General features: G+C 39.8%; 1 protein-coding gene and 1 long non-coding RNA gene across 6 annotated transcripts in view; both read right to left on the bottom strand.

The window, feature by feature from the left end:
- GTF2H1 (general transcription factor IIH subunit 1) overlaps positions 1–27,825 on the bottom strand; it is a 44,479-nt gene that overhangs the window by 7,345 nt on the left and 9,309 nt on the right. For all 5 annotated transcript variants that reach the window (XM_024448457.2, XM_006718208.4, NM_001142307.2 and 2 more), the window contains 12 exons: positions 26,473–26,641; positions 23,755–23,947; positions 21,427–21,592; positions 20,044–20,137; positions 18,291–18,440; positions 18,094–18,173; positions 11,986–12,113; positions 11,782–11,869; positions 7,732–7,820; positions 7,255–7,372; positions 1,659–1,749; positions 1,061–1,176 (listed from right to left, as the gene is read on the bottom strand). In XM_024448457.2, the coding sequence (XP_024304225.1) occupies positions 1,061–1,176; positions 1,659–1,749; positions 7,255–7,372; positions 7,732–7,820; positions 11,782–11,869; positions 11,986–12,113; positions 18,094–18,173; positions 18,291–18,440; positions 20,044–20,137; positions 21,427–21,592; positions 23,755–23,947; positions 26,473–26,626 (1,467 nt within the window). In that variant the 5' untranslated portion in view covers positions 26,627–26,641. The remainder of the gene's footprint in view (positions 1–1,060; positions 1,177–1,658; positions 1,750–7,254; positions 7,373–7,731; positions 7,821–11,781; positions 11,870–11,985; positions 12,114–18,093; positions 18,174–18,290; positions 18,441–20,043; positions 20,138–21,426; positions 21,593–23,754; positions 23,948–26,472; positions 26,642–27,825) is intronic.
- On the bottom strand, positions 7,822–10,584 carry LOC105376577 (uncharacterized). The gene is made up of 2 exons (XR_007062611.1): positions 9,214–10,584; positions 7,822–9,106 (listed from the first exon to the last, which is right to left on the bottom strand). It is a non-coding gene; the product is annotated as an uncharacterized LOC105376577 (long non-coding RNA).

Genomic DNA, 27,825 nt, shown 5'->3' with positions numbered 1-27,825 from the left:
TGTCTTTCAACGTATGAATATACCAAATGCTTCTCTAACCAACCCCCTTCTGGTAGATATTTAGGCCATTTCCTCTATCTTAGAGAGTGGTAGACCATCTCTAGCTAAGTATTTGCATTCCTAATTATTTCCTAAATTTCTAAATGTTGAATTTCATTTGAAGTTTCATTTGAATGCTGAAGTAAAAGCATCTAAAAAAACACTAGCAGTGGAAGAAAGGACTCTTGGCTACTTGGTCAACATTGATCATTTTAAGATTTTTGTTCTTCTGCAAATTAGTAGGTGAAAAAAATATTCTTTTAAAAAATTTATTTATGTATTTTTTGGAGACAGAGTCTTGCTATGTTGTCCAGGCTGGTCTCCAACTCCTGGGCTCAAACAATTCTCCCGCCTCAGCCCCGCCAAAGTGTTGGGATTACAGGTGTGAGCCACCGTGCTTGGCCAAAATGTTCTTTTACTGTAGCTGTAATTTATCTGCATACTGGTAAGTGTGAGCATTTCCCCTTAATCTTCCTAGGCCACTCCATTCTTTAGTGAGTTGCTTGTAAAGTGTTTGCCTATTGTGCTTAATGAGGTCTTTATCTTTTACTTAATCATAGTTTATGAAAGCAATTTATAGTATTACTATTAATGTTACATTTTTCATTTGTCAACTGTCCTTTAATTGGTTAAAGCGGTTTTAGTGTTAAAAAGCTAGTGCTATATTTGTTGTCAGTTCTTATTTTGGATTTTGTTATCCCTGAAAAACGTATCAAATATAAATAACTTTATTGATGTAATTTGTTTTGGGTCTCTATTCACAGTGGCTTGGAGGTAGATACAAGTTTTAAGTTGTATGATTATTAGTTATGGAACTCGTCTGGATCTCAGTTTCCAAATCTATAAAATGGGTACCAATAGCTACTCCATAAAGATGCTGTGAGGTTTACATGAAACGATGTATGCAAAAGAGTTATCCCAGTGTCTGTCACATGGTAAGACTCAATAAAACTTTCCAATTTCAAAACTTCTTGTAAGTCACTACCACAATTATCTGGCTGTCTTCAGAACTGGTTCTAACCTTTTCTTCTAGGAATGGCGTATTAACAGGAAAGCAGGACCAGAAATGTCGTAGAAGTTCTCCAACAGCTACATATAAGTGTTTCAATTCAGATTGAATATCATTTGGCACCATCTCTGCAAAAGAAGAACAAGGCCCATAGGTTAAGAGCTATTTTAACATATACAGTCTCGAAAAAAATGACCACTCAGAGAATAAATTTGAATGTGTACTCTTTGTCAATGCCAAACCAGGATGTGCTATTTTCAGATAAGTTAGTAATTTTGTGGCTGAGAGATCATAAAATTTAAAAGCTCTTGGGATTTCAAAGAAACTTTCAGGTTTCCCCTTTATTCTAAGAGGTAGGGGAGAAGAAAGGAGCTTTTACTATGATATTAGAGAAACTAGCAATGTACCACTATTTGTAATAGTAAGACGGTTCTGAAACCTAAGATCTTGTCTAGATGTGTTTCAGAATCTGAATGTATAAAAACAAATCTACAAAATAGAAATCCCAGGATTATTCCAAGGAAAAACCAATAAAAGTTCAGCACTCCTCCCAGCTTGCTTTTTAAAGCTGATTTAGGCAGAAAGTAGTAGAAGATGGCCCGGCACATACGGTTTATGGCTTGCTGTGTTCCTCCCTGCATAAGTGCCCCTCCAGGTGACAGTGCTGTGATGGTACTACTGGCAGCACTACTTGAGAGAACCTGAAAAAAATGAAGATGCATTAAAACTGGTTTTCCTCCCTTTTTTTTTTTTGCCACCTCTCTTTCTTAACATTTTAGTTTTAGAGCAGACAATGAAGTGCTTTTCCTTTTGTTTAAATACTACATCATTTACAGTGGTCAAAGTGAACTATTTTCCTTGAGGGCAGAAACACAATCCGTGTAGAAAGAAGATACCTACAAATCTCCCAGGCATGCCAGGCAAGTCCACAGGGACCTCAAAACTCCCAAGGTTTTGCCTAGTTAAAGCCCTTTCTTAAGTACCAATTCAATTTAATATGAGAACTCTTACCACTGAAGGTAAAATTGAGTTTAAGGAAAGAAAACAGGTAAAACAACATGTTAACCTGTATCCTTTGTTTCTGTTAAATTTATTTTTCTAAGAAACAAAATCTTGTTATGTTGCCCAGGCTGAACTTGAACTCCTGGGCTCAAGCAATCCTCCTCCCTCAGCCTCCTGAGTAGCTGGGACAGACTACAGGTGTGTACTCCGCACCTGGCTTTGCTAACATATACCCTTGATAACAGAGTGGGGGAAAAAAAAATAAAGAGCAGAAATTTATTAACTGTCATTTAATTTTCAAGGAAGTGAATAAATATAGCCAAAAGGGGGAAAAATATACTCCCCACTGTATCAACATCAACATTTAGGAAAAAATTGACCTATCTATTCGATGAGTGCCTATCAAGTGCCAGGTACTGTAGGGAGGCACTGCTATAGGGAGGAACAAATAATTTGTGAAACAGCAAGTGCAGGGTTAGCATCTCTAAGATTTTCCAATGAAGTTTTTATGAGTAGAAATCCATCCATGTATAGATTGGATGAAAACATTTTTTCAACTTAGTGTAAAAGTACAGTATGGGACAACCATGAGTGAAGGGGACATTGGAGCTCACTTTATTCCTATTTTCCTTTTGTCAGATACCAGCCTGGGCAATATGGTGAAACCCTGTCTCTACAAAAAATACAAAAAAATTAGTTGGGCATGGTGGTGCATGCCTGTAGTCCTAGCTACTTGGGAGGCTGAGATGAGAAGATCATTTGAGCCTGGGGAAGTTGAGGCTGCAGTGAGCTGAGATGGTGTCACTGCACTCCAGCCTGGGCAACAAAGCAAGACCCTGACTGCAAAAAAAAAAAAAAAAAAACAAAGATTGACTACAGTGTAAAAAAATTACATGGGGAGAGCTGGGCATGGTGGCTTACAATTATAATCCTAGTGACTCAGGAGGCTGAGGTGGGAGCATCGCCTGAGCCCAGGAGTTCAAGGTTGCAGTAAGCTATGATAGTGCTACTGCACTCCAGTCTGGGTGACAGAAACCTCACCTCTAAATCAAACAAACACCACCACCCCCAAGACAAAAGTTATGTGGGTCTACTCGGGCCCAAGGGCCAGATACTGGACAACTATAGTCTACATTGAAAGAATTGGTCAAATAATCCCAGGTTGGTTATGTGTGCATTTATGTACACATATGTATTTTCTAGCTTTCTGCTGAAGGGACAATGACACCCCAATGTATACCTAGTGCCCAGATTTTTTTTTTTTTTTTTTTTTGAGACAGAGTCTCACTCTATTGCCCAGGCTGGAGTGCAGTGGTGCGATCTCGGCTCACTGCAACCTCCGCCTCCCAGGCTCAAGCAATTCTTCTGCCTCAGCCTCCCGAGTAGCTGAGACTACAGGTACGCACCACCATACCCAGTTAATTTTTGTATTTTTGGTAGAGACGGGGTTTTGCCATGTTGGCCAGGGTGGTCTAGAGCTCTCAAGTGATCTGCGTGCCTCGGCCTCCCAAAGTGCTGGGACTATAGGTGTGAGTCACTGTGCCCGGTCCCAGATCTTGGTTCCTACCTTGATCCACTCAGTGCTAAAAAGAAAATTCCACGCCTGGGACAGGGCAGATGTAAGATAAGCCTGGAACATCTATCTTACTATACCATTCAGTAAGGAGGGGCTAAGAATGACGGGGATATTGTCAGAAAGACACAGGAGAGCCTGTGTGAAGTGGGTAGGAAGGGTTTGACTGTAAAGGGGCATGGGTAGACTTTCTGGGGTGACAGAACCGGTTTTTTAAAATCTTGATTTTGTTGGTGGCTACACAACAGCATGTGTTTATCAAAACTTGTAGAATAGCAGACTTAAAAAGATAAATTTCATTTTGGGAGGCTGAGGCAGGTGGATCGCTTGAGCTCAGGAGTTCGAGACCAGCCTGGGCAACGTGGTGAAACCCTGTCTACACACAAAAATATAAAAATTAGCCAGGGATGGTGACACATGCCTGGAGTCCCAGCTACTTAGTTACTTGGAGGGCTGAGGTGAGAGGATTGCTTGAACCTGGGAAGTCAAGGCTGCAGTGAGCCGAGATTGTGCCACTACACTCCAGCCTGGGGGACAAAGTGAGACCCTGTCTCGAAATAAATAAATAAATAAGTAAATTTATTTATTTATTTTACTGTATGTTAAGTTGTACCTTGGTTAATAAAAAGAAAAAAGGCTGGGCGTGGTGGCTCACGCCTGTAATCCCAGCACTTTGGGAGGCTGAGGCGGGTGGATCACGAGGTCAGGAGATCGAGACCATCCTGGCTAACACGGTGAAACCCCGTTGCTACTAAAAATACAAAAAAATTAGCCAGGCGTGGTGGCGGGCGCCTATAGTCCCAGCTACTCCAGAGGCTGAGGCAGGAGAATGGCGTGAACCTGGGAGGCGGAGCTTGCAGTGAGTGGGGATCATGCCACTGCACTCCAGCCTGGGCAACAGAGCAAGACTCCGTCTCACAAAATAAAAATAAAAAAAAAATAAAGAAAAATTAAAAAAATTTTAAAAAAAAGGAAAAAGAAAAAAACGGCCTGTAATCTCAGCACTTTGGGAGGCCGAGGCGAGTGGATTGCTTGAGCTCAGGAGTTAAAGACCAGCCTGGGCAACATGGCAAAACCCTGTCTCTACCAAAAATACAAAAACTTTGCCAGGCATGGTGGTGAGTGCCTGTGGTTTCAGCTACTTGGGGGGCTGAGGTGGGAGGATCGCTTGAGCCAGGGAGGTGGAGGTTGCAGTGGGCCGAGATCATGCCACTGCACTTCAGCCTGGGTGACAGAGTGAGACCCCATCTCAAAAACAAAAACAAAAACAAAAAGAAACAAAGAAAAAAAGATAGCAACAGTGTTTAACTCATAAATGAATCCATGCTGATATAAATAACAAACAGAGGAGAAGGGAATGCTCTTCCTTTCATGTCAGCTGATATACATAGAAGGGCTGATGGAATTAGAAAATCATCATTTAACAACTGCTCTTCCAGGCAAGAATCATCAGTGATTCTAAAAAAACTACCAGATGTAAGTTTGTTGTGTGGTGACACATGCCTATAATCCCAGCTACTCAGAAGGCTGAGGCAGGAGGATTGCTTGAGTCTAGGAGTCTGAGGTTGAACGGAGCTATGACTGTGCCACTGCACTACAGCCTGGGCATCAGAGCAAGACCCTGTCTCTAAAGATAATAATATTAAAAAATAAAAATAAAAAATTTGGTGACAAATGGGGTATTTATATAGTCTCAAAGTACAGCTCCACAAGATATGTATTAATTACAAAGGGAAAAATAGTTAACTTTTTGGTGGAGAAACCAGGCAAATACTACCTTTAACCAAGTGAAAAAATTTAATATCACAAGCTAGGATATATACAAATCATTTGCCTCCTGATATGACACACTGAGTAGGATACAACATTACTTCTGTGGAGTTTCTGGCAAAAATGCCTAATGTGAATCTAGTCATGAGGAAACATTAGGTAAATTTAAGGTCATTCTACAAAAAATTGCCCAGTACTCTTTCAATGTCAAAGTTATGAAAAGACAAAGATTGACAAATCATTCCATTTTAAAGGAGACTAAAAACACATGAGAAATAAATACAACTCATAAACCCAGCTTGTCTGCTGGACCAAGAAAAGCTTTCTTTTGCTATGTAGAACATTAGTGGTATAACTGGTGAAAATGTAGTAAGATATATAGACTAGATAACACATCATCAATGTTAACTTACTAATTCTATAATTGTACTGTTATTTAAGAGAATGTCTTAGTTTTTTGAAAATATACATCGAAATATTTAGGGGTAAAGGGAAATTATGCCTGTAACCTTCTCTCAAAATGGGTTGGAAAACATATTTTTCTGTCACTTTCTGTAAAATCTGAGATTTCAAAATAAAAAGTAAAAAAGTAAGTCTTGATGTGTGATAAATAACGTAATATAGGTATACACTCAGTGCCTCAGTGCTCATAAAAACGGAGAAAAGGAAAAAACAAATTCTTCTTTGCACTAGTTAAGGATTACTTTCCAGAGGCAATGAAACTGGAGCTGAGTCTTGAGTAATTATTAGTTCCTTGGGGGAGAAACAGGGCTAAGGGAATTCTAAAGAGAAAGAGCATAAGCCGAAGCACAGGAAGCATGAAGGAGATAATGTGATCAAAAGATTCTGGACAGCTTAGTGTGTTAGGCTGGAACCCTTGGCCATGTGTGGAAGGGAGTAGCGGAGACTATCGCTGAAGATGAGACTCGAGTAGTGGGCTGGGGCCAGACTATAAAGAGTTTTGCAGGCCAGACAAAGGCACTCAGACTACTGCAGTGAAGGGAGGCAGTGAAGGTTTTCAAGCCGCAGTGATAAAATACATGTTTTTATTTTTAAATATTTAAATATTTATCTATCTATTTGAGATGGAGCTTCGCTCTTGTCGCCCAGGCTGGAGTGCAATGGCGCGGTGTCAGCTCACTGTAACCTCTGCCTTCCAGGTTCAAGTGATTCTCCTGCCTCAGCGTCTTGAGTAGCTGGGATTACAGGTGTGTGCCACCACGCCCAGTTAATTTTTAAATTTTTAGTACAGACGGGTTTCACCATGTTGGTCAGGCTGGTCTCGAACTTCTGACCTCACGTGATCCACCCACCTCGGCCTCCCAAAGTATTGGGATTACAGGCGTGAGCCACTGTGCCCGGCCAAAATAAGTGATTTTAGAAAGACAACTTGCAGTAGCATTATGGAAAATCAATCAGGTTTGCCTAAATAAGGGTGATAGAATCAAGAAGTATTATTGAAGGCAGAACTGACAAATTGCTGATCAACTGAAGTACGAAGAGAAACAAAGAACAATGATGAGCTGTTTTACATATTTTAAGCCTGAGTCATGCAGAATATTCAGAGAATAATGTCCAGACAGAATTTGGAAACCTGGGAGATTTTCCCAATAAAAGTATATGGAAGTAAAAATCACAAAATTCATCAACTTATTTTTTTTCATTATCATCTTATCTTCAGATGCCTCTTGAATATGCCAAACACCTTTTCTTGCTACCTCTTGATTTTTTCAATTTATTTAGCAGAACTATGTCTTTAAGCCCAATTAAAATATTAGTTGTATGGTTCAATCTGCTTGTGCTCATAAACTGAGGAAGGAACTATGGGAATTCTGGCCTTCAAACAGTAGAAGTCACCTACCTGAGTTAACTTGGGTGTATAAGCTTCCATTTCTTGTCTAATACTTTGAAAAGAATTAATAATGTCCTGACTTGTTGCATACTGTAGTGACTGGATTGGAGTTGGACCATGATAATACCTGCAGGTTAGCACAGAAGAAATTACTAATCACACACAGTAAAGATGCTCAACATTTGTCTTTGCAACATTTTAGCAGTCAGTACTAAGTTCCCCTCAAGGCAAGAAACGATAAGTAAAGAGATTTCAATAAAATAATTTAATTCCCATAAGGGCAATAAGAAAGCAACAGCAGAAAGATCCACATTTATTGTCATGGGTTTGATCATTTTTGCTTCCTGAGAAGCCTAAATTTTAAACAGAAAAGGATATTGTACTTTGATGGTGACGAACTGATTAAAACATGAGTGCTATACTTGTAGGATATATTTTGGACTGAATTGTTACATAGCTATTCTGCTTAATATTGACCAAACTTACCTATCTGACTTCTTGAGGTTTAGTGCAATCGTTTTTACAGAATTATTTTTCCCCAAGTCTTCATATTCAATGGACTCTTGTAATTTCGCCTATAATTATTAACACAGTACTTTTTATTTTGTCACAACTTTCTCTTACACAATAAACATGACTGAAAAAACAAAACTGTACAGAGGGTAAAAAATGAAGTCTTCCCACCATGAGCTTCTCTTCCTAGAGATGACTGTCCTACAAATGGCTGAACCAATTTTCTCAACAACTACTTAAGAATACTAGTTTTCTTACACTCTGACCACATGAAGTATTATTGAACTTTTTACTTTTGCCAATCTGGTAGGTGAAAGTTTACATTTTATTATTTTTTCCCCAAATGAATGATCTGTTATGCTCTCCACTATTTTTATATTGGGTACTTTTTAAAAAATAAGACTTTTAAATATTAAGGAAACAGTCTTTTACATGTTGTAAATACTTTATCTTCCAGTTTGGTGTTTTTTTGTTTTGTTTTGTTTTAATTATAAAAAAATCCTCTCCTCGGCAGGTGCCTGTAATCCCAGCTACTTGGGAGGCTGAGGCAGGAGAATCGCTTGAACCCGGGAGGCAGAGGTTGCAGTGAGCTGAGATCACGCCACTGCGTTCCAGCCTGGGCGACAAGTGAGACTTCATCAAAAAAAAAAAAAAAAATTCCGCCTCTTTGCCCGCTTTTTGCTTATACATCTGTGGCTTAAAAAATTTTTTTTTTCTAGGCGCATATCACCACCTCCCCAGCCAAACTCAGTCTCCTAAATTGCGGAGATTACAGACACATGCTACCATGCTCAGCTTCCGGCTTAATTTTTGCTTAATCTTAGATCCACTCAGAATTTATTTTGGATTAGGAGTAAAATAGGGAATCTAAGTTTCTTTTAACAAAATTATCAATCAGTGCTTCTAACACCATTTGTAAAATAATTTACCTTTTCCCACTGATTTTTAAAATGTCATGTGTATCATACATATGCTTAATTCCTCCACGTATTTGGGTTTACTTCTGGACTCTTTTAGTAATTTTATTCATTAATTTTATTAATCTGTTACCCCCTGTGCTATTAACAACCTGCTTAAATTTTTACAGCCTTGTAATAATACAAACATATTACTTATGAAAGATACATGATCTATGTAAACATTTGTGCAAATCAGCCTTGAAATATTTCATCCTCTACAAAGCTATGAAATTCATCTGGTCAACTCTTATTGACTACCAAGACTAGAATCAGAACATTCAGGTTATTAACTATACCTCAAAAAACGTCAATCTGAAAACTTAACGTTTTAAATTGCTCCAGCTTTAAGATTCTAAATAGTCCCTTTATGGTACAGGAACAAATCTGACCTCACATGAAGTCACAAATCTGACCTCAATCTGAAAACTTAACGTTTTAAATTGCTCCAGCTTTAAGATTCTAAATAGTCCCTTTATGGTACAGGAACAAATCTGACCTCAGAGAAACACATCCTTACCTAGACTCAGCCTGACTTTTTTTTTTTTAACTACTTTCTCAACTCTATACCTTTCAGCCAACTTCAAGGATTACTGATGTCTTCATGATTTTTGACATATGTCAAGCTTATCTCTACCCCTGCTGTTGCCTTACCTATGACATGTCCCTACCCAAGCTCCCATAACAATCCAAATCCTAAACTTATGCCAAGGCCTTGTTAGGTCACCTGACTTTCACACTTAAATGAAAGCTCCATCAAGGTAGGGACTCTGTCTGCTATTAATTCTGAATCTCTCATTCTACAAGTGAGAGAATCTATAAATTGTAACCCTTTATAGAATAAACAGCAGTCAACCACTGACTTGGAAGAATAGTTAGAGCCAGCATTTACCACTGAATACTGATAGCCCCTGACTTACAATGGTTTGACTTGGAATTTTTCAACTTTATGATGGTGTCAAAGTGATTCACATTCAGTAGAGAAACCATATTTTGAGTACCCATACATTGTTTTTCACTTTCAGTATTCAATGAGTTACATGAGATATTCAACATTTTATTAGAAAATACACTTTATAGTAGGTAATGCTGCCCAACTACAGGCTAATCTAAGTGTTCGGAACACATTTAAAGTAGGATAGGCTAAACTATGGTGTTCCATACATTAGGTGTATTCAATGCATTTTTGATTTACAGTATTTGCAACTTATGAGTTTATTGGGATGTAGCCCCATTTAAGTCGAGAAGCATCTGTATTGTAAAAATTCACACAAGTAAATAAATTTCTTTTTTATTTTTTCTTTGAGATGGAGTCTTGCTCTGTCATCCAGGCTGGAGTGCAGCGACGCGATCCCAGCTCACTGCGAACTCCGCCTGCCAGGTTCAAGTGATTTTGCTGCCTCAGCCTCCCAGGTAGCTGGAATTACAGGCGCACGTCACCATGCCTGGCTAATTTCTGTATTTTTAATAGAGACAGGGTTTCACCATGCTGGCCAGGCTGATCTAGAAATTCTGACCTCAAGTGATCCACCCACCTTGGACTCCCAAAGTGCTGGGACTACAGGTGTGAGCCACGGCTCCTGGCCAAGAAATTTCTGATAACTTGTTCACCACCAAGAATCAAGGGTACTCAGCCCAACAGTATACAAAGAAAGTATCACTTAATAGATTTCTTCTCTAACTTCTCTATAACTTATTATTAGCTTTGCTTTAGTTCAAAAAAGAAATACCTCACTGGCTTTATTAATTTTATAGGTAATACATGCCTGTAAAAACATTAAGTTACTGAAATAGGCTGGCACAGTGGCTCATGCCTGTAACCCCAGCACTTTGGGAGGCTGAGATGGGCGGATCACATGAGGCCAGGAGTTCAACACCAGCCTGGCCAATATGGCAAAACTCCGTCTCTACTAAAAATACAAAAATTAGCTAGGTATGGTGGTGCACGCCTGTAATCCCAGCTACTCCGGAGGCTGAGGCAGAAGAATTGCTTGAATCCAGGAGGCAGACGTTGCAGTGAGCCGAGATTGCAGTGAGCTGAGATTGCACCACTGCACTCCAGCCTGGGTGACAGAGCAAGACTCTGTCTCAAAAAAACAAACAATAACAACAACAAAAACATTAAATTACTGAAATAAATGAAAGAAATTAAGACTTACCCATACTCTCTTTATTGAAAGATAACCGTTTAGCATATTCATTTGAAGGCCCTTTTAAAGCTCACAAACTATTTTTTTTGTGTGTAAAACTGTACTGTACAATCTGTTCAGTGAACTCTTTGATGCAATATTATCATTAATGCTTTCAAAATAATGAACAGTTGCATCAATCTCTATTGTATTAATGCAACACAGATAACAGAATCCTTGCTACTGTCTTTATTATGATACTGTAATGAATATTTCTATCTAAATCTTAGTATACATCTTTCTTAAGAAATAAATGTCCACAAGTAGAACTAAGGGTGTAAAGCTTTAAACATTTAATACACATTGCCTGACTGCTCTCTAAGAAAGCTTTATCATAATTAGGAAGGGAGGTACAAAATAGCGTGGCAAAGTTGCAGGAGAAGAATAAATACACAAGCAGCTAATTCTGTCCATCCTTCTCCACACCCTCAAATGATTTCTTCAATATTTAATGAGAAGACACTTTCAGCTCTGAAATGCTAGGTTTAACATGAGGGCCAATTCACTTTCTTTGAAAAATCATATACATGAAACTTCGGTTTTTCTGTCATATTGCCTCTGTTGAATGAAGATTTTATTCCCAGAGAACAAAATCACATATAAGAACAATCTGTATGTATGTGTACATGTGAGGAAAACAAACAAACAAACAAACAAAAAACAATAAAAATGGCTAACAGGCTAGAGTCAATGGAAAGTTGGCTGGCAAGCCAAAGCTGGGGAAATACTCTTTGTAATGCTATACACTTTAAGCCAAATGCTTAACATCTTAGTTAGAAGAACTGAGTCACAGGAAATAAGCGTATACAGTACTTGCAGTCACATAAAGTATTTGGAGAAACTTGAGCCCCAAATGGTTCATATTTTTTTGCCCATACCCTTTTGACTGCTGGCTGAAAGCAGTCTGCATCTCCGGAATTTCCATCCATGTTGCTGGGCTCACTAGTTTGTTCATTTTGTGCTTCTCTTAAAATAAAGGGGAAAAAAAAGTTAACGTTAAAAACCACAAGCAAAACAACACCACAACTCCATCTGGATATCCTGAAAAGCCCAGTTACTGCACCTCTGCATTTATACTTAACTGTTTTCTGAGTCCAGCTGCCAGGACCATGGCACTGTGATGGTTAAATCTCTTGATGATGGCAGCATTACTATTCTCTTTTATGGATTTAGAATTGGAAGCAGATGGCACAGAGGAAATGCCATAGCCCTGTGAGAAATAATAGATTAAAAATTTTTTAAAAAGGTTCTGCTTTTCTTATTATAAGACACGCTTAGCTGAAAAAATTTGCTGGATGATGGGACTTTTATTACTTCTCACGAACATTAAATATTTATGAACAAACATTTAAAAACAAGTGACATTATGCACATAAAAGATTAACAAATAGCACTAACTCGTTTTAGCATTACAAAATACATCTTAAACTGAATTTCTCTCTGTTTTTGAGATGGAGTCCCGCTCTGTTGCTCAGGCTGGAGTGCAACCTTCGCCTCCTGCATTCAAGTGATTCTCTTGCCTCAGCCTCCTGAGAAGCTGGGATTACAGGCGCCTGCCACCACGCCCGGCTAATATTTTGTATTTTTAGTAGAGATGGGGTTTCACCATGCTGGTCAGACTGGTCTTGAACTCCTGACCTCAAGTGATCCGCCCACCTTGGCCTCCCAAAGTGCTGGGATTACAGGTGTGAGCCACCGTGCGTGGTCTGCATTTCTCTTTTAAAGAACAATTTGGATCTAGTTATCAAAACGTTAAATAAAAGCAATAGAGTCAGGATACCTGTAATCCCAGCACTCTGGGAGGCCAAGGTGGGCGAGTCACCTGAGGTCAGGAGTTCAAAACTAGCCCGGCCAACATGGTGAAACCTCATCTCTATCAAAAATACAAAAATTAGCCAGGTATGGTGGCACACACCTGTAATCCCAGCTGTTGGGGAGGCTGAGTGAGGCAGGAGAATCACTTGAACCCAGGAGGCAGAGGTGGCAGTGAGCTGAGATTGCACCACTGCACTCCAGCCTGGGTGACAGAGTGAGACTGTCTCAAAAAAAAAAAAAAAAAAAAAAGTAAATAAAAAGAATAGAATATAGTGAGAAAAACACTGACTATGGATTCAGAAAGATAAAGAGTCAAATTCTTTTTCTAACGTTAATCTAGGCAAGATAAACTTTTCCAAGCTCTATAAAGTAGGATAAAAGAGAATAAAATGAGATTATATTTTAAAACATGTATTGAGTGCACGCTACTTGCTAGACCATGTAGATACAAAATTGATTAAGACCCCATGCCATAGGAGCTTAAATACTAGTTAGTGGGAAGCTGGGCTGGAGAGAATTACTAATCAATCCTACTGGAGAAGAGGGTTCGAAAAAGGTTCACAGAGAACCATAAGATAAACTGGTGCTTGCCAAGTAGATCGGAGACAATAACATTTCAGGGAGAGGAAACTGCTTAAACAAAGGCAAAGAGGCACTGTGGTCCTGATTATTTGGGAGGTTGAGGCAGAAGAACTGTTGAGCCGAAGAGTTCAAGTCCAGCCTGGCAACACAGTGAGACCTTGTCTCTATTTAAAAATAAAACAAAACACAAGCAAAGCAGCAATGTAGTACATATTGTGTCATGAGACTGTATATGGTTCAATACACTAATAACGGTGGTCCAGGAATTGGTGAGGCTAAAAAGGTGAAAGAAAGATCATGAGACTCATATGGGCCAGGCGTGGTGGCTTACGCCTGTAATCCCAACACTTTGGGAGGCTGAGGCGGGTGGATCATGAGGTCAGGAGATCGAGGCCATCCTGGCTAACACGGTGAAATCCTTTCCGTACTAAAAATACAAAAAATTAGCCGGGCGAGGTGGCGGACGCCTGTAGTCCCAGCTACTCAGGAGGCTGAGGCAGGAGAATGGCATGAACCCCAGGGGGCAGAGCCTGCAGTGAGCCGAGATGGTGCTACTGCACTCTAGCCTGGGTGACAGCAAGACTCCGTCTCAAAAAAAAAAAAACTCATATGTGCTGGGTGTGGTGGCTCACGCCTGTAATCCCACCACTTTGGGAGGCTGAGGTGGGTGGGTCACCTGAGGTTGGGAATTCAAGACCAGTCTGGTCGTGGTGAAACCCTGTACTAAAAATACAAAAATTAGCTGGGCGTGGTGTGTGCCTATGATCCCACCTACTCAGGAAGCTGAGGGAGGAGAAGTGCTTGAACTCGGGAGGCAGAGATTGCAGTGAGCTGAGATCACGCCACTGAACTCCAGCCTGGGCAAAAGGGCACGACTCCATCTCAAAAAAAAAAAAAAAAAGATCCATATGCTGTTCATCAATGTATCAAATAATTACTAAGTGATTATTACTACATGACATGCGCTAGGAACAGGCCAATAAACAGAACAAAGTCAGCTTCATGAAGATTACACTCTGAGAGGAGTGTGAATGCAATTATCAAGTAAAACAAGGTAAACACAATATTTTTTGAAAGTGGAAAATGTCATTGAATAAAACAGAGGGTAACATGATGAAGTGACTGAATTTGTGGGTGGTTAGAGAAAGCCTCTCTGAAGCACGCAACTTTTTAATTTTTAATTTTTAAATTTATATTTTTATTTTTTTTTGAGACAGGTTCTCGCTCTGTTGCCCAGGCTGGAGTGCAGTGGTGCAATCGCAGTTCACTGCAGCCTTGACCTCCTGGGCTCAAGTGATCCTCCTACCTTAGCCTCCCGAGTAGCTGGGACTGCAAGTGTATACCACTATGCCCAGCTAATTTTTAAATTAAAAAAAAAAAAAGTTTAGAGATGTGGTCTCACAATGGACTCAAACGATCCTCCCACCTCAGCCTCCCAAAGTGCTAGGATTAAAGGCATGAGCCACCCCACCTGGCGAGAAATGACATTAGAACAGGTATCTAAAGATAGGCAGAAGCTGGTTAGGGAACAAGCAGGTAGAAGATCAGTTAAGTGCATAGGCCCTGAGGTAGAAAAAGCGTGGCATGGAAGTGAATGGTCATTATGTCTAAAGCATGAATGAGTAGAAGTGGCCCCAACTGAGAAGTATGCAGGAGCCAAATCTAGCAGTCTTGTAGGAGTTTTGATTTTATTCTAAGCTCAATGAGAAGATAATGAAGAGATTCACATAGGGGATTATTAGGATCTGATTTATATTATAATCCTTTTTTTTTTTTTTTTTTTTGAGACAGTCTCACTCTGTCACTCAGGCAGGAGTGCAGTGGTGCAATCTTAGCTCACTGCAGCCTCTGCCTCCCCGGTTCCAGCGACTCTCCTGCCTCAGCCTCCTGGGTAGCTGGAATTACAGGCATGTGCCGCCAGGCCCGGCTAATTTTTGTATTTTTAGTGGAGATGGGGTTTCACCATGTTGGCCAGGCTGGTCTCAAACTCCTGACCTCAGGTGATCCACCCACCTTGGCGTCCCAAAGTGCTCGATCACAGGCACGAGCCACCACGCCCGGCCTATATTATAATTATTACTGCTAGGGGAGAATAAACTATAAAAGACAAGATAGCAAAAATAAAGGTTAGAAGGCTAAGGCAAGCAAACAGGCCAAAGATGATGATACCGTAAACATGAAAGGGTGTAAGCGTTTGTGTAGATCCCACAGATGAGAGGTGTATTGTACGAGGCTTGTTGATACACTGAATGCTGGACATAACAGGAGGAAAACATGGCTGGCTGCAATGGTTCACGCCTGTAATCTCAGCACTTTAGGAGGCCGAGGTGGAAAAATAGCTTGAGCCCAGGAGTTCAGACCAGCCTGGGAAATATAGGGAGACCCTGTCTCTACAAAAAATAAAATTAGCCAGGTGTGGTAGCCTGTGCTACAGTCCCAGCTACTCAGGAGCCTAAGGCAGATTGCTTGAGCCCAAGAGGTCAAGATTGCAGTGAGCCATGATTGTGCCACTGCACTCCAGCCTGGGCAACAGAGTGAGCCCGTCATAAAAAAGAAGAGGAAGAATCAAGGAGACTCGCCGACTCCCAGGTTTTTGGCTTGAGCAAATTGTAATGCTTTTTACTAAGAGAGGGAATACCCATGGAGATACGTTTATGAGGATGGGAATCAAAGATTCCATTTTACATGTGAAGTTGAGATGTCTTTGAAATACCTGAGAGGAGATGTCAAGTAGGCAGCTAGAGCTCTGCAGTCAAAGACAGACTATGGTTATTCAGGATTCATCATTATGTAACAAGAATGTTTTTATTTTTATTTTTACTCCCTCCCCTGTTCCCCATATCTAGTAAAGCAATGGAATAGAGAGAATGCATTCAGGAGGCCATAGATCATAGCCTGTGATAGTTACTATAACCAGAAGATTGAGAAGGAAAGAAGGAACACCAAATGAAAAATGGCATCAACCAATATTTGTAGTAAAAAGATTGGTTATATAAATGTTGATATACCCATACCAATGGAATACTATGCAGGCATCTAAAAATACAGATAACAACAATAATGCCTATTACCTACTACTTATTACGCACTAGGCTCTTTTAACTCATAGAAATCCTATAAGGCAAGTACTATTAGCCTCACTAAGGAAAACAAAAACAAAAACAAAAAAACTGGGCTTGGGCCGGGCACAGTGGCTCACATCTGTAATCCCTGCACTTTGGGAGGCCGAGGTGGGTGGACCACCTGAGGTCAGGAGTTCAAGATCAGCCCGGCCAACATGATGAAACCCCGCCTGTACTAAAAATACAAAAATTAGCCTGGCGTGGTGGCATGTGCCTGTGATCTCAGCTACTCGGGAGCCTGAGGCAGGAGAATCGCTTGAACCCAGGAGGTAGAGGTTGCAGTGAGCCGAGCTCAGGCCACTGTACTCCAGCCTGGGCAACAGAGTGAGATCCCATCTCAAAAAACAGAACAAAACAAAACAAAACAAAAACCAAACAGGGCCTAGAAATGTTAGAAGATATCAGAATCTAAGTCAGCTAGTTTGGTTTTAAAGTCTATGTTTTAAACTATGGGATGGTTTATACAGCTATTGATACTAAACAGAAGATAAAGTTACAAATGTACATGTACAATATGCCATCATGTTTATTTTAAAGAAAAAAAAAGCACTAAAAAAGTCTTCCTTTCATACTAAGTTGTAAGTCTAAGCGCCACTAAGCTTTATTTTCTCAGGATAATTAAAGAGGGCCATGTTTGTATAGATTCTTCTTCACTTCTGAAAGGGTGATGTCCTGAAAAACTCACTGTATGATCAAAGTATAAATTGAAAATACACTGGCTGGGCGTGGTGGCTCATGACTGTAATCCCAGCACTTTGGGAGGCCAAGGTGGGCAGATCACCTGAGGTAAGGAGTTTGAGACCAGCCTGGCCAACGTGGCAAAACCCTGTCTCTACTAAAAATACAAAAATTAACTGGGTGTGGTGGCACGTGCCTGTAATTCCAGCTACTTGGGAGGCTGAGGCAGGAGAATGGCTTTAACTTGGGAGGCAGAGGTTGCAGTGAGCCAAGATTGCGCCACTGCACTCCAGCCTGGGCAACAGAGTGAAACTCTTTCTCAAAAAAAAAAAAAAAAAAAAAAAAAAAGAGACAGAAAAAGAAGAAAAATAAGAGCAAGAAAATGAAAACTCAGAGTAAAGGGAATAACTGAGGAAGACAAGTTCTGGCCTAGAAGACAGAGGCAGTGATAAAATTATCCTTGATCACAACAGGAACCATCTCTTTCTCTGCAAGTAGATAAATCTGTAGGTCTGGGGTCATGATGCTGAGGTAGGTAGGTCATACATGATGGCCTACTTGCTGAAACATTGGGGTTGGCATGGTATAAGGGTCATGAGAGTGCTTAAGGTTTGGCAGATAGTAAGCAATCAACAAATGTTTGTTATCTTCCTTATTTATTAATTTATCCATATTTCTTTAGATTAAATGTTAGCTAGAGCATAAAGCTGAACTCATCACATTAAGCCTTTATTATTACTAGAGAACTGCGGATGAGGGAGCTAGAAATTTATTTTTAAAAGGTTTTAGCAACTCACACAGGAATTTCATTTCTTCTAGGCAATTTTAATGGCAAACAACGCTATTTCAAAGCACTTCCGATAAATCACTTCAAGTAACAGTATTTTGCTTATTTGACATTCTCACAAGTGGAATAGGTCTACTACGCTTAAGACAATGTTGAAGACTAGGAAAAGACTCTTTTCTCTCAAAACTTCTTTTATTGCTTCTTACCTCATCTAATGGTTTATCTTCCAAAGCTGTTAAATCTAGTAGTGGGTTTTTCACTCCTAATGAAACCATTGTTTTTAGGCCTAGAAAATCAACAAAATAAAAAGTTCAGCATGTCTTATCTGTCTCAGAAATTAACACTTATAATGTCTAGAGGGTGGCAAGTTAAATACCAGTGTCTATCAGAGATAAACAGTTACCTTTTTCATCTATTTTGGCACATTCTGCAAAGAGATCCTTTGACCCTGTATTCAGCCGATCCCTGTGAAAATAATGGGACTGGAAAAAACGTGTCCAGAATTCCTTCTCTGTCATGTTGTGGGGAACATTTTCTGCATATTTCATTTTTACTGTGGAAAAAAACCCACAAATATTATATACTGAATTTCCATTTTTAAAACCTCTCAAATTAGGTAACTGAAATACAAATAGCAAAATCTAGACCATAAAGCTCTCAACTCTACATACTATAAGTTATAATCTAATTATAAATATGAAGGGTAACTTGAGAGATTAGGTGAGGTATGACCTCTATAAATCTTACAAATTACAAACAAAACCTTATTTGCACCAAAAGAATAAGGTTTTGAAGTTTTAGTAGAAATACCAAGAATCTCAGGAGTCAGAGCTGAGTCTGCTTGTTTGCTCATTTATATATGTGCACTCTCAATCCAAGGCACTGTGTTAGCTTGTGGGGTAATAATGATCTCAATATCCACTGGACTGTCAGCTCAGCACTCCAGCGGCTTACACACTAGCAAGCATAGAGTTCAACAGCATTGTTTGCTGAGCTCTGAGTTTAAAATTCCAGGTCTGCCACTTTCTATCTGTGTGACCCTGAGCAAATTACTTAATCTTTCTGCACCCTGGTTTCCTCATCTGTAAAATGAGGGTCATAACAGTACCTCTACTTCATAGGTTTACGTGATGATTAAATCAGTTACTATAGAAAAAGAACTTAGAAAAGCGTCTGGCACATAATAAACACTACACAATTATGTTACCATCAGAAAGATACAAAAGAGCCAGATGCTGTGGCTCAAGCCTGTAATCTCAGCACTTTGGGAGGCTGAGGCGGGCAGATCACTTGAGGTCAGGAATTCAAGACCAGCCTGGCCAACAGGGTGAAACCCCATCTCTACAAAAAATACAAAAAGTAGCTTGGCGTGGTGGCACGTGCCTGTAGTCCCAGCTACTTGGGAGGCGGAGGCAGTAGAATCACTTGAGCCTGGGAGGCGGAGGTTGCAGTGAGCCAAGATCGCGCCACTGCACTCCAGCCTGGTTGACAGAGCAAGACTCTGTCTCAATTAAAAAAAAAAAAAGAGATAGGGTCTTGTTTTGTTGCCCAGGCTAGTCTTGAACCCCTTGCTTCAAGGGATCCTCTTGCCTCAGCCTCCTGAAGTGTTGGGATTACAGGCGTGAGCCACTGGGACTGGCCAGGATTTCATAGAGGTGGCAAGGAGGTGATGCTTGAGCTGAGTCCTGAGAGAGAGATTCCTAAGGGACTAAAGGGGTAAGAGTGGGGAAGAGGGAAGCGAGAACAGAATACAGCTTAAGAGAGTACTGCTTAGTCAGAAGAATGACTGACACACTGGCTCTCATCCTTGTCTACACATAATAAATCACTGAGGCTGGGGTCAAGGAATCTATACTTTTAGGATGGCATCTGCACGGGAAGTAATTTGTGGGTTAGGAAGGTCACTCTGGATGCAGAATGAAGAATGATCTGAGTTAGTAGTACAGACAGACTCGAATGGCAGTCATATTAGTGAACTGATGACAACACATTATTTACTGAGCCCCTAGTATCTACCATATGTCAGGCACTGGGTAAAAAGTACTTTACATAATTTATTGCACTTGATCAGGAATCTGAAGCTTTTTGTTTTTCACTGATATACTATAGAATATATCCATATATTTTAACCATCTGAAAGAACTGATTCTTCTTACCTGCTGGATAGGTCCTAAATATGGACTCAATGATATCAGAAGTTAAATTATATCTTAGACCGTTACAGCCATCAGTTTGGGGCCGGACATCAGCCTAAAACAAAGCCCATACACACATACACGTTAGAGCATCAGGGAAAGATGGCTCAGGTCCCAGTGGACACTGGACAAAGGTGGAAAAAAAAATTTCTGAACTAACTGCATAGACAGAGAAAGTCCCTCACCTTCACTTTTTGCACAGAGGCAGGACTCAAAAAAGCCTGACTGGTTTCTCACGGTCTTAAGTGACCTATAAAATCTGCTCCTTTGGAAGTCTAATATGGTCAAATAGGCATGTTTAAGTATGAAGGCAGAGAGGCAGTGGAGCTTTAAGATAAAACTTGTATAGTCATAAAAATCACTACAAACCTTGGTTAGTAAATAATTAAATTAACATTAACTGACTGACTTCTTTGGGAAAGGCCTTATTAATTCACTTCACTAATAAACATCCAAAAAAGATACCAAACATACAAATAGTATTCAAAATTTTGTTGAATGTGTTAATACTATTCTGGTTCCACTAGAATACCAACTGACTGAATTCCATTCCATAATTCCACAGATAAGGTATTCCCAATTGTTCTAATATAGTTTACAAATCTTACATTTTCTATAATATGGTCATGATACATTTAACCTTGTATTGTAAGTAAAATATGGCAAAGGTTTAAAAAGGCAGCAGAAAGCCCTACATTTGAAAATATTTGAAAAAGTAAGTATTAGTCCAAACTCTGAAAGAGTCATTTTCAAATTCCATTTGACTACCAGCATGCTAGGGTCAAGTCCAAAGGCCAAGAAAACATAACTGGTAAAAAGAAATATAAATTTAAAAAAAATTATATGTATTTTAAAAACATTTTGGAAGAGGGCTGAGTGTGATAGCTCATACTTGTAATCCCAGAGCTTTGGGAGGCTAAGATGGGAGGAACTCTTGAGGCCAGGGATTTGAGACCAGCCTGGGAAATACAAAAAGAGCTGCCCCCCGCCCTATAAAAATAAGAAAATTTAGCCAGGCAAGGTGGTGCACACCTCTAGTCCCAGCTACTTGAGAGGCTGAAGCAGGAGGATCGCTTAAGCCCAGGAGTTTGAGGCTGCAGGGAGCTATCACTGTGCCACTGCACTCCAGTCTGGGTGACAGAGTGAGACCCTGTCTTTTAAAAACAAACAAACAAACAAACATAATAATAATAGTTCAATAATAGTGAAGAATACCATGGATACTCAATTTTCCATTACTTTCCTTTAAGGAAATGCTAAGTTTTACAAAAGGAATAATGGTCTTAAGACACATATTGGGGTTTGAATTTTTATTTTCTTCAGAAATCTAGAAGGCTCACATACCAGAAATGCAGCAGAAATGCCAACATCCTGCTTATGATTGGATGTGGAAGAACTATCTGTTGCATTCACATTTAAACGATTGGCCCAGAATTCCTCAGCACTGATCACTTGACTCACAACAAGGTCTTTATAAAGCTGAAACAAAACAGGATCTTCTTGCAGCATTCTGTAAAGCAGAATATACTGAATATAACTGAACTTCTAGAATAAAACACCATGTAGGTACATTTTAAAAAGATTTTGGCAACACAAAACATTGAAACACACAACTTTTATTTTGTGATGTTTGAGCAGCAGAGGTCCTTCAGTTCACTTTTCAGTAATTAAGAGCAAAATACCCCACATTTTTGGAGGAACAAATGAAGTGGTGATAAATGGAGGTAGGTGTAAAGGAAAGATTAAACCCTTTGAGGACATGGGTTTGATCTTATTCATCTCCGTATCCCAGTGATTCAAAGATCACCATGTCTGCAGTGTACTGTCTGTTGGTATCTGAAAATGCTCAAGTCCGTTAGATAAAATGGTGTATTTACATACAACCTATACATATCCTCCCATATACTTAAATCTTATATTATAAATCTTATAATAATAACTATTTGTAATATCAAATACAAGGTAAATAGTTATATTTTTATTTGTATTATGTTTAATTATCGTACTGTTATTTTTTTCCCAAGTACTTCTGATCCAAAGTTGGTTGAATCTGTGGATGTAGAACTCCTGGATATGGAAGGCTGAATGTATTCTCTTTCATATACAGAAGTAAATGGGCAGAAAAGGAGGTATGCTTGAAATTTTCCAGCAATGAAGTTTTTTTTTTCTTTTTTGAGATGGAGTCTCGCTCTGTCACCCAGGCTAGAGTGCACTGGCATGATCTCAGCTCACTGCAGCCTTTGCCTCCCAGATTCATGCGATTTTCCTGACTCAGCCTCCCAAGTTGCTGGATTACAGGTATGCGCCACTACACCCAGCTAATTTTTGTATACATAGATATGTATTTTTTTTAGTAGACGTGGAGTTTCACCATGTTGGCTGGGTTGGTCTTGAACTTCTGACTTCAAGTGATCCACCCACCTCAGCCTCGAAAAGTGCTGAGACTACAGGCATGAGCCATTATGCCCCGCCTTCAGCAATGGATTTTTCATGGCGCTAAGCATGCACAGATATAAGCACTGCTGGCCTGAAAGATATTGGTGATGGAATAATTCATAAGGAAATTGTGGCCAGGTGTGGCGGTTCACACCTGTTATCCCAGCACTTTGGAAGGCCCAGGCAGGCAGATCACTTGAGGTCAGGAGTTTGAGACCAGCCTGGCCAACGTGGTGAAACCCTGTATTAAAAATAGAAAAATTGGCCAAGTGTGGTGGCGTGTGCCTGTGATACCAGATACTTGGGAGGCTGAGGCAGGAGAACTGCTTGAACCCAGGAGGTGGAGGTTGCAGTGAGCTGAGATCACGCCACTGCACTCCAGCCTGGGCAACAGAGCAAGATTCTGTCTCAAAAAAAAAAAAAAATTCTCATTATTTTACATACTGTCTCACTTTTTCAGTGTGAATTATTTTAGGTTTCTTGTTCATAAGCATACTTCCAATGGCTTAGCATCTTCTCTGTGACAGAGAACTGGGAAAAGAAATTAAGGAACTTCAGCACCTTCCAATCCCGGTTCTGCTCCTAAGCAGATGTTAAGCATGATGCAGTTAATTCAGCTTCTGGGTTTGCACATTCTCGTTTCCCAAAGTCAAACAAGCAGTAAGATTTTAAAGCTGAAAACTAAACACCAAGGTAAAGACACTAGAGCCCATATTTTCCTACATTACAGTATCATAGCAAAAGTGAGGATAGGTGGCCGGGCGTGGTGGCTCATACCTGTAATCCCAGCACTTTGGGAGGCTGAGGTGGGTGGATCACTGGCGGTCAGGAAGTTCGAGACCAGCCTGACCAACATGGTGAAACCCTGTCTCTATTAAAATTACAAAAATTAGCCGGGCATGGTGGCACATGCCTGTAGTCCCAGCTACTCGGGAGGCTGAGACAGGAGAATTGCTTGAACCTGGGAGGTGGAGGTTGCAGCGAGCCAAGATTGTGCCACTGCACTCCAGCCTAGGCGACAGAGCGAAACTCCGTCTCAAAAAAATCCAAAAACAAACAAACAAAAAACCACCACCACCAAAACAAACAAACAAACAAAACAAAAACAAAAACGACAACAACAAAAAACCAAAACCAAAACCGAAAAAACGTGGGGATAGCTAACAAGCTATTAGCATACTAGGAGACTATAGAGAACCCAGTATCTCTTTCAAAAGGCTATTCTTTTCCTCCCACCTGTTCTTCTCTTCCAGTTCTTTATTTGCTTTCCTCTTGAATTTGGGCAGCAGCTGCTGAAGAAGGTCTTTTACTGCATCTCGCTCTTTCACTGCTGTGCTTTCATTGGAAAAATGGAAGTTAGTTGTGTCCCCTGCATGTAGGACCAGCTGAAGCTGAATTTTAGCTTTTCCTTCTGGACTAATTTTCTGGCCTAAAAAGAAGCATGAGGGCAGTTAGATGATGACACTCACACTGTGGGAATAACCATACAGTAAGTTACTTCTCCCAAGATGATTCAGGATTCCTTTGGGCTTTAACTGCCCTATTCCAATACTGATGCTTTTGTAGAATGCACTCTTCTTAAATGATCCCATACAACCAGAGCATGCTCATCAAACTCACTAACACTCTGCTTCCTTCTTTGGTACTCTTGTCATGCAGCACTTCTCACCCACTGCTACTACCTCCAGATATTAATGGGCTTTTGTTACCATTCAACTAGGGCAGGGCAGACCTCTTTAAAGCTTCCTGAATGTATTTTAAACAAACTGCCCCAAATCAACATTATCATTAATAAAAAATGACCTATCATGATCCAAAAGACTGCAAAATGCGGCCCATGGCATTTCTTTTTGCAAGGGAAATATGTAATTTTATATTCGAGAAATCTGGTGTCACCACTTTAATAAAGTTATCAAACTTAGCCTCATTAAAAGTGAGACAACCTGACACTATATGCTTTCTGAGGTGATGGAACAGGAAGTGAATGTCACTATGTATGTTATTACTCTTGCACAAAATGTTTAAGCTGAATATATTCAAGCCTTTAGATCTGACTTTTAGCTTATAAAAAATACAGGTATACAGGAATAAATTAAAACCTTGAGGAGACAATCAGAAATATTCAGAATGTTTGATATTTGACAAGGCTATACCCTGAAAGGGACTAAAGAAATGACAACTACAGGAACCTAGATTGGATACCGTTTTTTTTAAAATAAAAAAATAAAAAAATAAACCAAAAACCACAACTATAAACATTACTGAGACAACCAATGGAAATGTAACAATGGCTATTTTTTATTAAAATGTTTTCAGTGTGATAATGGTATTACAAGCAATAAAAGTGCACACACAAATAATAAAGCAAATATGGCAAAATAATAACTAATATCTAGGTGGGGCATATTACGTAGGTTTTCACTGTATCATTCTTTAAAATTTTCTGTAACTTTGTCAGCTATGATAAGAACTAAATCAATTTCAATTGCTTCTTTCAGATGTGGGCATTCCTTCAAATATTCAACTTGAAACTGTTCTGGTGCAAATCTAGTTTTGGGTATGCACTGCTTTCACCAATAACTGAGAAGAATTGTAGAGAAATTGGAGATGGGCATACTGTTTATTGTACACTGTGGTTATCACAATGTGCGTGTGTATTACACAAAGCTATGGGGCTAGCTTCCCATTTGAGAGAGACGCTAATACTGCTAATTTATAAGTCTATTGTTACAGAAATGTTAGTAGCTAAGGCTATTAGCTAGTAACAGAAATTTGTAGGGCATTCTCTCAGAAATATATGTCTTTTTTTGAGAAGGAGTCTCGCACCCAGACTGGAGTGCAGTGGCGCGATCTTGGCTCACTGCAAGCTCCGCCTCTTGAGTTCACGCCATTCTCCTGCCTCAGGCTCCCGAGGAGCTGGGACTACAGGCGCCCGCCACCATGCCCAGAGAATTTTTTTGTATGTTTAGTAGAGATGGGGTTTCATTGTGTTAGCCAGGATGGTCTCGATCTCCTGACCTTGTGATCCGCCCACCTCGGCCTCCCAAAGTGCTGGGATTACAGGCGTGAGCCACCGCGCCCGGCCCTTAATTTTTGTATTTTTAGTAGAAATGGGGTTCCACCATGTTGAGCAGGCTGGTCTCAAACTTCTGATCTCAGGTGATCCACTCGCCTTGGCCTCTCAAACTTCTGGGATTACAGGTGTGAGCCATTGCACCTAGCCCATGCCTGAAATTTATAAAAAGAGATTCCACCACCTACATTCACTATAAGGTTGAGTCTTCTCAACAGAAGATGGCCACATAAGCAAAGATCAGACAACTTGCCTAACTGGTACAATTTTAGTGAAGGAAAATCTGGCATCATCTATCAGCATTTTAAATGCATAAACCTGGCCAAGCATGGTGGTGCATGCCTATAACATAATCCCAGAACTTTGAGAGGATGAGGCAGGAGTGTTGCTTGAGGCCAGGAGTTTGAGACCGGCCTGGGCAACACAGCAAGACTCTGTCCCTACCAACAATAACACAAAAAAACACATCAACTATTAAACAGGAAATTCTTTGCAGAAATGTATCCTACACATACAACCTTGAAATGATATTAGTGCAAACACTGCAATAAAAAAATTCTGGAAACTTCCTAAGTGTCCAACCACAGAGGGCTGGTTAAATACATGATTGTATATTCATTTAGTGGAGTATTATGCAACTCTTAAAGTGTGTGGAGATCTATATGTCAGGTAGATTTACATATTATATGTAAACCTGTACCTGTTCTGTTATTAAGTGAAAAGGTCAGGTTATAAAACAGTATATATTCAGTGACCCCATTTTGTAATTATTTCTACATAGTTGATTTTTTGATATAAAATAAAGATTTATATAATCTCTTTACAAAATTACTAGCAACTATGACATACAAATACATCAGAACTTAGTATAGCTGACTTACATTTAATATCTGCATACATATGGCTGATTGTAAATCTATCTTTGCCTTCAGGTGCCCAAGCAATTCTTTCTGCCATGAGGTACAGAGCTCCATCCTGCTTCTTTTGACGCACTTTCTTTACAATCAGCAAAACTTCTTCAGATGAGGTTGCCATGGTGGCTAGAAGGTGCTAAGAGAGAAAAAAAAGATGAAGAAAAAAACTATTCCACACATCAATTAGGGTTGAATTTGTTGACTTCTAGAGTCCCTTTCAAATATAAAATCTAAACTGTAGGAAATTAACGGGGAAGAAGAAAGTCTCTTTTCTCATTCAAAGTTGAAGATAAAGTTGCACGGCATCATTCCTCTACAATTAAATTTCATTTTGCTCATACCACAGGTGTAAATTTATACAATACTTATATGCTAATGAGTATTATTAATTTATTTTCCTCAGTTATATTCTTATACACACACAATTTGAAAATGTGTAGTCTTTCATATAGTCTATATTTACAATTGTAAAACTGTAGAATTACAGTCATATTTATTATTTAGTTCAAATTTGTTTCAATTGAAACTAAAGTCTGCAAGATATGTGGGGACTTCCCAGAACCACTCCCAGAGCTGAAACCACACCAAAGTTTCCTGATTTCTGGTCTGTTTCTTCTGTATAAATAAAACTGAGAGAACTAAATATTTAACACTTCACATGCTAATTTCTTATCTTTTAACATTCAAATGTCTTCAACTGCTCTCCACGTCTTGGCCATGATTCATTGGTATAATGCCTAACTAGTTACCTAAGAAAGAGTCTGGTCCCTCCACCTCCATCCCCTGCCTCTGAGAATCTTAAATGCCCAACCCAAATCCTCCAGGCTTGAGTGTGGCTGTCTGGACTCAGTGAGAAAAACTGCTGACTGATGGTGCTGTCTGCCATGGGCCAGGATGGGGAAAGTTGTGGCACCAATGCCACATATATGCCATTTCTGGTGAAGTTATGACTTTAGTTTTCATCCCCAGAGGAATGGCCAAAATATAATTTAACAATTACGTTTGCCCTGGGCAAATAAGTGAAGCTTTACCGCAACATTTTTCTGAGGGTTAAAACTAATGAAAACAGGCCAAGTGATGTGGCTTACACCTGTAACCCCCCGCAATTTGGGAGGCCAAGGCAGGAGGTATCACTTGAGCCCAAGAGTTTGAGATCAGCCTTGTCAACAAAGTGAGACCCCGTCTGTACAAAAAATAGGTCTAATTACTTTGGGAGGCCAAAGGGGGAGAATTGCTTGAGCCCAGGAGTTTGAGGCGGCAGTGAGCTATAATCACCACACCGTACTCCAACCTGGGTGACTGAGTGAGACCTGTGTCTCT

The sequence above is a fragment of the Homo sapiens genome, chromosome 11 (genome assembly GCF_000001405.40).
Source record: "Homo sapiens chromosome 11, GRCh38.p14 Primary Assembly".
NCBI lineage: Eukaryota > Metazoa > Chordata > Mammalia > Primates > Hominidae > Homo > Homo sapiens.
Note: the sequence above shows the minus strand (reverse complement) of the source record. Positions and strands in the feature narration are given on the sequence as shown.